This window comes from Homo sapiens, chromosome 2 (genome assembly GCF_000001405.40).
Source record: "Homo sapiens chromosome 2, GRCh38.p14 Primary Assembly".
In the NCBI taxonomy this organism is placed as follows: domain Eukaryota; kingdom Metazoa; phylum Chordata; class Mammalia; order Primates; family Hominidae; genus Homo; species Homo sapiens.
This window is the reverse complement of record NC_000002.12, coordinates 176,197,009-176,207,229: the sequence shown is the minus strand read 5'-3', so window position 1 is coordinate 176,207,229 and position 10,221 is coordinate 176,197,009. Positions and strand designations below refer to the sequence as shown.

The 10,221-nt window shown below is 40.4% G+C and overlaps 1 pseudogene; it reads left to right on the top strand.

Annotated features, from left to right (window-relative positions):
• RPLP1P4 (ribosomal protein lateral stalk subunit P1 pseudogene 4) lies at positions 5,847-6,359 on the top strand (annotated as a pseudogene).

Sequence of the window (10,221 nt, the reverse complement as noted above, 5' to 3'; positions counted from 1 at the left end):
TTTGAGACTTCAGTGAGCTATGAACACACCACTGCACTCCAACCTGGGTAACAGAGCAAGACCTTGTCTCTAAAAAATAAAACATAAATAAAATATTTTAAAGACTCCTCTAAAATATATCTGAGAAACTCTGAAACTTGAAAAATCTTCTCCTTAAGAGGAGGATGAATAGATTTTAAGACACCACCCAATAATGAAAATTTGGCAGGCCTCCCACCTGCAAAAACTTACAGATAGACTCGTGTCCAAACCAGACAGTCAGAATTCTGGATTCATCTTTTAACTACAGAAAATTCCACAAGAAGAATATAATAATCTCCTGGGTCACCTCAAACCACTGAACACATACCCGGTATTCTAAATATAATCCTTTGCATTTTTCTTTAGAGGAATACTAATGACATGTGTGGACCATATGTTGCAGTCTAATATCTCTGCAATCAGCAAGGAATTTCCTTGGATTTTTTATAGGATCCCTGAGGAACCAGAAGTAGACAGCAGGAAAATTCAGTTTGAAGTAACCCTCTTAGATTGAATTAAATATAGTTGTATCTGTAATGATATCAGGATCTGCTAGAAAATTTGGAGTGTACAAAGTATTCCTGAATTTGTATGATTTATCTATTTTTAATTATTACTTGTAAATTCCTGGGAAAATATTTTATTAAAATAAGACAATTCACGAATCATAAATAAGACCATTGGTTTGAGTAAGGCCATAGTTAGTCACCTCAAAAAAGGTTCACGCCACCTTAGAAATGAATAGAGAACACAACAGAATAACTCATAGACAGTGCAACTGCTCATGGCCCAAGGATCCCCTGGCACAATTAAGCGGCTAAGCATTCTCAGTTTGCAGAAGGCTCTAGAAATTGCTATTGGTGAGTCACTCTAAAGCCCTGTATCAAAATCAAGCTAGGAGAGTGTTAGATACATCCATCTCCCAGGAGTTTTCAACCACAGGTCTCCAGGGCCTTCTGAGTACAAAAGATGCTCTGGCCCAGGGTCTCCTGCTTTCTTAAAATCCACAAAGCTACAGTGAGGAGAGAAGGAAGGAAGAGATGGAGAGGGAGAGCATGGAGAATCACTCTCTTGCTCATTACCAGAGGTTATTTTGATTCTTTTAAATTGATAGAAGTACTGAATTACATATTTTTCCTTTTCTGTAATTTCAGTGAATATGTTCACTGCAATTAAATAAGATTTTGCAGTCCATTACCTTGTAATGGATGTAGCCTTTGGGTATTTTTGAAAACTAAAATTAAAAGAAAAATGAGCAAGTGAACGTGTTGATTAATGCATCTATGAGGATCTTACACCAGCTTTTAAACATACTAATAAACATTTTAAAGCAAAATAGAACATGGAAATAAGTATACTGTATATTTGTTTTTATTCTATTTTCTTTTCTTTCTTTCTTTATTTAGACACGGTCTCCCTCTATTGCCCATACTGGAGTGCTGTGAGGCAATCACAGTGCACTGCAGCCTCAGCCTCCTGGGCTCAAGGGATCCTCCTGCCACTGCCTCCTGAGTAGGGATTACAGGCACACACCACCACACCTGGCTAATTTTCTAATATTTTGTAGAGACAGGGTCTCACTTTGTTGACCAGGCTGGTTTTGAACTCCTGGGCTGAAGCCATCCTCCTGCATCAGCCTCCCAGAGTGCTGGAATTACATAATAGGCATGAGCCATCACACCCAACCTATATCATATTTGTAATGACAAACCTGTTTTTCAAAACAACCACCAATGAATTAATATTGTTCAATACATTCTGAAGACAGAGACAGTAAGTCACGAGGAGACCACATTGCTATTGTACACTGCAACTTGGTAGAGGCAGCAGCCACTAAAACTGCTGCCCAGTCAGATAACAGTGATTATCATGAAATTTGTCAAGAGTTTCACAGCTGTACCCAATTTCCTTAAAGGAAGAATCATATTATCTATACTTTTTAGGCAAGGGTGTGTTCTGAGGTCTGTAACTTCCTTCAAAGGCTGTTTCTTCCTGATTCAAGCTGCCTTTAGGGCAAGGAAAGGCTGATAAAGCTTGCTTTTGGGTCTATCACTCCCAATGGGGCCACTTTAAAGTCTCCCTCCATACCTCAGTCCACCCCCATGTTTCTCCTGTTTCTGAGCTAACTTGAAATTAAAATTGGAGCTAAAGGTGGGTGTGGTCGCCAGCCTCCCAGATGGCCCCTAGTGATCCTCAATCCTAGATCTTCAGGTCCTTGTCCAGACGCTTCCACACTAAATCAGAGCTGACCTGTGTGACTGCTAGAACATTCCAAAGTGATAGCATACAAGTTCAGAGGCTAGGTCATAAAGGCATTGCAACATTTACCTTGGGTTTTTAGATTGCTTGTTTTGAAGGAAGCCAGTAGCCATGTTGCAAGGATACTCAAGCAGCCCCACAGAGAGACTCAAATGGAGAGAACTGACCTGCCAGCCATAAGCGAACCACGTTGGAAGTGAATCCTTTAGGCCCAGTCAAATTGCAGCCCAGCTGACATTTGGCTGTAACCTTCTGAAAGATCCTAAGCCAGAATCACCCAGTGAAGCCACTCCAGAATTCTTGACCCACAGAACCTGTGAGGTTTAACAAATGCTTCCTGTTGGTTTAAGCCACTAAGTTTGGAGATAATTTGTACATGGAAATGGAAAACTAATATAGTAGGTTAATATATAACCCCTTTTGAGGAGTATGTATACTTTAACCAGAGTCTTTACTAAAACAAAACCAAAAAATGGTGAAATGACTGGTAGAGTGTGGGTGAGTGGGAAAGGGCCCCACTGGCAGTCTGTCCCTCCATCACCAGGCAGCCCTTCCCTTCTTTCTACTGTGGGGACATAAACTGCAGTGCTTTTGGTGTCAGGTGACATTTTATCACTCAGACCTCAACAGAGTAATTATTATTATTATTATTATTCTTGAGATGGAGTTTCGTTCTTGTTGCCCAGGCTGGAGTGCAATGGCCTGATCTCGGCTCACGGCAACCTCCACCTTCTGGGTTCAAAGGATTTTTCTGCCTCAGCCTCCCAAGTAGCTGGGATTACAGGCGCCCTCCACCACGCCCACCTAATTTTGTATTTTTAGTAGAGACAGGGTTTCACCATGTTGTTCAGGCTGGTCTCAAACACCTGACCTCAGGTGATCCACCTGCCTCAGCCTCCCAAAGTGCTGGGATTACAGGCGTGAGCCACTGCACCCAGCCGAGAGATTCTTAATTGTAACCTGATGTTCTCCCCTCCTCCTGGCTTCAAGAAACCCAGAGAGCTATTAGGAACACAAAAGTTCTGATGACTGTAGCTTCAATCCTGGCTGTACATTCAGCCATCAGGCCACATCTCTGTGCCTCATTTTTCTCATTTAGGAGATGACATATTTTTAAATGTACATTATTTCACTTCTTTTGATTGTAAAATGTAACATACATGCAGAAGAGTACACTAAACTTTGTATACAGTTTTAAAAGCAGCTAGGTTAAGATAGAACACTGCTAATTAGAACCTAGAGCTGCCTTAATCTACTACTGACTGGACAGTATTGGTAGGCCTGTACAGAGAGGCTGTTAGTGGCCGGAAGAGTCTCAGAAAAAGAAGAGACAGAGACAGACTTTCTTGCTTCATCACTGTAACCCAAGCATGGGATGGAGTACCTTCTAGCAGGACCAAAGTGGGCAAACAGACAAGTCTTTTTTAAAAATCTCTTCAGTAATTACAATATGCAAAATGAGTATAATACCCAACACAGCAAAAGTGAATATGGTAGAGAAGCTAGAGCTAGAAAGATGAATATGTTATATCTCCTGCCCTGGAGGAGACAGACATGGATACAGGTAATTGCAATAAACAGCAATTGTTCTATAATAAAGATGTATGCAAAGTGCAGTGTGGAGCACAGAAGGGTTTGGAAACAGAAGGAATTAAAATTAATCCAACCATGAAACTAAGCCAGAAGCAATTAGTATTGGGATCTTTGTCATCACTCAGTCCAAAATTCCCACTTTGAGCTGAGAAGGAAAGTTCTTAGGAACCAAAAGAGATGGAGGGGGAAAAGAATGACTTCACTTCTCCATTGCCAGAGTCTGTGAAGCAGCTAGCAGCCAATTACCAGTGGAAGTTGTGGAGTTCCCTTCTCCAGAAATCTTATGATCGACATTGTAGCCCTATGTTTTCAATGCATTGCCAAATTTGTTAAAGCAACTGGATGCTTGCCAGCCTGCCGCTTCATTTTGTGCTGTGTGGACACAGTCCTAAGCATGTGAAGTGCCAATAAAGCACTTAATATTATTTTTGGACTTATCCAATCTTCCTTTCTACTGAGTTTGTAAGTTCCTTGAGGGTAGTGCATCACACTGTGTTCTGAGTGGCAAACATTGGACCCACTAAAGGTAGCTTAAAAAAGAAAAATGATTAACTTTAGTTATCTCTAGGAGGGCTAGGAAACTAGGTTCGGAGGGTACTCCACACGCAGGAGGCAACAGCAACACCTGGAATGTAATTCTGGCACAGGCGCCAGGGCAGGTATCACCATCACGGGCACGGGAATCAGCTGTTCCTTTTCCCACAGAAAAAGTGTCAGGTCGTTAGAGGGACAGAAAACGAATACTGGGCAAGCCAAAACAATGGCAGCTATGTAATAGATCCTCCAAAGGATTTAAATAATTTCAGCCAAATGAAGATACCTAATACCATTAGAAAAAGAATATATCTGACAGTCAGGTGCAGTGGCTTACACCTGTAATTCTAGCATTTGGGGAGTCTGAAGCAGGCGTATTGCTTGATTCCAAGAGTTGGAGACCAGCCTGGGCAACATGGCAAAACCCCATCTCTACAAAAAATTAGCTGGGTGTGGTGGTGCGCGCCTGTAGTCCCAGCTACTCAGGAAGGAGGCTGAGATGAGAGGATCACCTGCACCCTGGGAGGTTAAGACTGCAGTGAGCCAAGATCACGCCATTCCACTCCAGCCTGGGCGACAGAGTGAGACCCCATCTGGAAAAAAAAAAAATCTGTTTTAAGTCCTCTCAGGCATACCCCGAGTGATCAAGTTGCTAGTGAAATAAGCCAACTTCTAAATAAAACTAATGGAAGGACTAGCATTTTCTTAGTATGGTTACCTAACCCTTACTAACCTTCTTGAGGCTTAATTAGACTTGTGTTTGTATGTATGTTACACAGACCACTATCAAATTTTATAAATCTTGCTACAACAAAAATTAAAGAATATTTTAGTGTTGCTCCCTAGAAAACTGCAAAGCTTACTAAAAATATGCATCCTTTAAAAAGTGTGCCTATATCTTTATAAACTTGCTTTTAACATTTCTTTAATTTTGTATTATAAGTATAGAAAAATGATAGAATAGTTTTCCACATTTCTTGGATTCTCCATTTTACTTAAGCTAAAGGTATACTTTTCTTATTACTTTGCTAATCGTGAATTCCACTTTTATCAACACAATTCAGAACTTGTTTCCAACTGGTAGGATGAAAATTGAACATATGTGACACTCAAATGCTCAATTCCCTGTTGAAGAAATGAATGATAGACCTTATCTATCATTTATTTGACTCATGTGTACACCCATGTATATCACAGACATTTTTATTTAATTATTCAAGAATTGGCACATGAGAAGCATTATCTAATTCCTCTGGGACCTTCCACTGGCAAAAATAAATGCAATGACTGTGGCTACCAGATGAATTTTGCCCTTTTTCTTATATTTGAAAGTAATGACTTTATTATTTCTGAATTTAATTATTTAAATTTTAAGCAAAACAGAAAATCACTACAAAGAAAAAAATGTCAACAAAATCTTACTATGTAGAAGAAACCGACCCCTTCCCTCAGCTGCCGCCAAGCTGCTCGGTCCTTCCGAGGAAGCTAAGGCCGCGTTGGGGTAAGGCCCTCACTTCATCCTGCGACTAGCACCGCGTCCGGCAGCGCCTGCCCTACACTCGCCCGTGCCATGGCCTCCGTCTCCAAGCTCGCCTGCATCTACTCGGCCCTCATTCTGCACGACGATGAGGTGACAGTCACGGAGGATAAGATCAATGCCCTCATTAAAGCAGCCGGTGTAAATGTTGAACCTTTTTGGCCTGGCTTGTTTGCAAAGGCCCTGGCCAACGTCAACATTGGGAGCCTCATCTGCAATGTAGGGGCTGGTGGACCTGCTCCAGCAGCTGGTGCTGCACCAGCAGGACGTCCTGCCCCCTCCACTGCTGCTGCTCCAGCTGAGGAGAAGAAAGTGGAAGCAAAGAAAGAAGAATCCAAGGAGTCTGATGATGACATGGGCCTTGGTCTTTTTGACTAAACCTCTTTTATAACGTGTTCAATAAAAAGCTGAACTTAAAAAAAAAAAGAAGTAACCATCATTAATATTAGGTGAACATCTTTCTTGACAGCTCTATGTAGACACTCAGATATTAGGAGTGATCGGTGCATAAATAACTTGGTACATAGAAATAATTTTATAAAACTGGATACATATTATGCATGCTATTTTTAAATAAAAATATTAAATTTACATTTACTTAGACGTAATAAGAGAGAGAAACCAGATGAAACTAACAGATAACTGTTTCTTCTTCACTAAGAGAGCCCTCTAGAAGTATGGGAGAAAAATATTTACAAGTTTGGATTTTTTTAGCAATCCAAATGTGTTGTTGAACTTTATTAAAGTGTTCCTAAAATTAAAAATATAACAAATAAATCAGTTGGGCATGGTGGCACACACCTGTAGTCCCAGCTACTGGGGAGGCTGGGGCAGGAGGATGGCTTGAGCCCAGAAGCTAGAGGCTATAGTTAGTTATCTATAATTGTGCCTGTGAATAGCCACTGTACTCCAGCCTAGGCAACATAGTGAGACTCTGTCTCTAATTTAAAAAAAAAAAAGTAAATAAATAAATAAACAAGCAATTCTAATACTACATAATCTTAATTGAGAAAGCTTTAAGCTAAATCTATTCATCTTGAGTTCCAAATGATAATTATGTTTTATAACTAAAATTGGAAGGAGGCAGAAATAGAACATCTGAAACCTTTAGTCTTTATTTACATATGAATTGCAGCTAGCTTACCTTTGTCATTGTGACACATGTTGAATTAGGGACAGGTATAAAGCAATACCTTTATTCCTCTTAGTTCATTCAGAACAAAGTTCATTCATTTCATTGGTGTACTAAAATATCTAAGCTGCAATTGTTTGTGTTTACATGGAACCAATTGAGATAACATTGTCCTCTAAAATATGTAAATTTTTTAAAATCAAGGGCCAAGCCCCAAATTACAAACCTTTAATAAAAACAGGCCTTGAGAATTCTCAGATAGCTTCCCCATGTGACAATTCTGAAGCATACAAACACAGTTGTTTCTGAAGTTCCCAAAGGAACCATATGCTGCTAGAAAAATAGATTATTCTGGTTGTATGTGTGCTTTTATTTGCAGTCAAAACAGAAGCTTATTGGACTTTCTTGGCAGGTTAACCCAAGGAAGTTTAAATTTTAAATCTTTTTAAGATTTTTAGGGACAAATAGTATGCTATTTTTGTCTGAATAAGAAATATTGTTGTTTTAATTCATCATTTGGAGCTCATTTTATATATTCACATAGAATCTACCTTTTCTACAATTTTTTTTTTTTTTTTTGAGACGGAGTTTCACTCTTGTTGCCCAGGCTGGAGTGCAATGGCGTGAACTCAGCTCACCGCAACCTCCGCCTCCCAGATTCAAATGATTCTCCTGCCTCAGCCTCCTGAGTAGCTGGGATTACAGGCATGCATCACCACACCCGGCTAATTTTTGTATTTTTAGTAGAGATGGGGTTTCTCCATTTTGGTCAGGCTGGTCTTGAACTCCCAACCTCAGATGATCTGCCCGCCTCGGCCTCCCAAAGTGCTGGGATTACACACATGAGCCACGGTGCCCGACCTACAATTATTTCATAAGCGAGTAGTTTTTTTCCCCCTATATGAAGCTAACACACTTCACATATTCAAAATGTGACTCAAGTTTCAGATGTAAGAGGAGATGTAAACATTTACATATGATAGAGTAATTACTCATACAGGCAATTGAATACTAACACTATTTTGACAATTAGATCATAAGCAATCAGGAAAAATAATTTCTATTTATATAGAACTGTCCTTCAGCCATTAATTAGACCACAACGTGTCCTTTTTGCAGCAAGTTTTTATTTATTTTTTTCAGTTTAAGGGTAGGTTTTTATAGACCCACAATGGCAATAGAGTTTTTTTGTTTGTTTGGTTTTCGTTTTTTGTTTGTTTGTTTGCTTTTGAGACGGAGTCTCACTCTGTCGCCCAGGCTGGAGTGCAGTGGCGTGATCTCAGCTCACTGCAAGCTCCGCCTCCCGGGTTCACGCCCTTCTCCTGCCTCAGCCTCCCGAGTAGCTGGGTCTACAGGCGCCTGCCACCAAGCCCAGCTAATTTTTTGTATTTTTAGTAGAAACGGGGTTTCATCATGTTGGCCAGGATAGTCTCTATCTCTTGACCTCGTGATCCACCCGCCTCGGCCTCCCAAAGTGCTGGGATTACAGGCGTGAGCCACCGCGCCCGGCCGGAAATAGTTACAGTTTTATGCACAGTTGAGAAAATTCACAATTCCCCACTGCCAGAGTAGGTAGAGGGAAGAATTTTTCCTTTCTGCAGCAACAGGAGTTAATGTGGTTGATCACTCCTCTTCTCACTTTGATGTCCACAGAACACAACCTGAACCTCTCTATTTTAAAGAATGATAAATTCAACCCTGGGGAGGTGCTACAGTGTAGGAAATGTATGTAAATCATCATTGCATTCTAATTTATGGCACCTGACCTCTAAAGTGCCATGTATGTGAATTCACATGTCCTTTTGGATAGAAAAAAACTGAACAAAAGTGTGATGGATTTAAGTTTTCTGTGCTCAGAATAAGCCAGTAAACTAGAAGCAGTGGGTAATGGCCTGACACCTCTTCCATCCTTTATTTCTCCCGGGCTTCTTCTAAGGTCTTGGGGCTTAGTTTAGTGAGTGCCCAGCCATTGCAGTCATCAAGCATTCATTAGCTGCCATTTTCCTTTCCTCTGTTATTATGTACCACCAGTATTTTGCTAAATGTATTGAATAACCCTAGACTTTACTTATTCTCTCCAGCCATATTCACTGCAATGATTCTTCCCTTCCCAGTATCTCTTTAATCCTAATTGGTAATTGTCTGTGCATGGCACCTGGAAACTCAGTACATATTTGTCATATATGTAAGTATTTCTCTCCTTCAGTCCCTGTCTTTCCATCCAAATGCCTATCACAATGCTCATTACCCATTCTGTCTTAATAATTAGCAAAGGTTACACTAGACATTGTTCTAAATGATCCACATGTATTATCTCTGTTCTTCCTCACAAGTCAGTGAAGTAGAGACATTAATATTCCCATTTTTAAGGGAGGAATGTAAAGCTGAATGACACTGAGTCACCTGTCCCGGGATTTGTGCCCAAGCCTGTCTGCTTCCAAGGTTCACTGTGGTAACTACTACATTTAATTGTCTCTAGAAACCCTCTGCTAGACCTCATTTGGTTTCGTCAATCTTTCTCCAGGAGTTCTGTTGCCATAAGGTACTCCAACAACTATAATAAGTAACAAATACAATATATTAAAAAGCCTCAAACAACAACCAAAATGCATTATAAATTACATTCTGTAAGAATAAAAGGGATTGGCTGGGCATAGTGGCTCATGCCTGTAATCCCAGCACTTTGGGAGGCCGAGGCAGGTGGATCACCTGAGGTCAGGAGTTCGAGACCAGCCTGACCAACATGGCGAAACCCCCTCTCTACTAAAAATTCAAAAATCAGCTGGGCATGGTGGTGGCCACCTGTAATCCCAGCTACTCGGGAGGCTGAGGCAGGAGAATTTCTTGAACCAGGGAGGCGGAGATTGCAGTAAGCCAAGATCACACCACTGCATTCCAGCCTGGGCAACAGAGCAAGACTCCATTTCACAAAAAAAAAAAAAAAGAAAGAAAGAATAAAAATAATAAAAGGGATTGTTTTAGATAACATTCACACTTTATTGGTATACAAAGGATTTAATCAAAAGAATGTACCAGATGCATAAGGAGGAAAGTCTATAAGCTCTCCCTCCTTCAGCTTTCTAGCCTCCTATTTGTATTTTACTGTGTAGTCAAAAATCACTTGTGTTCTATTATAAGTGATGAA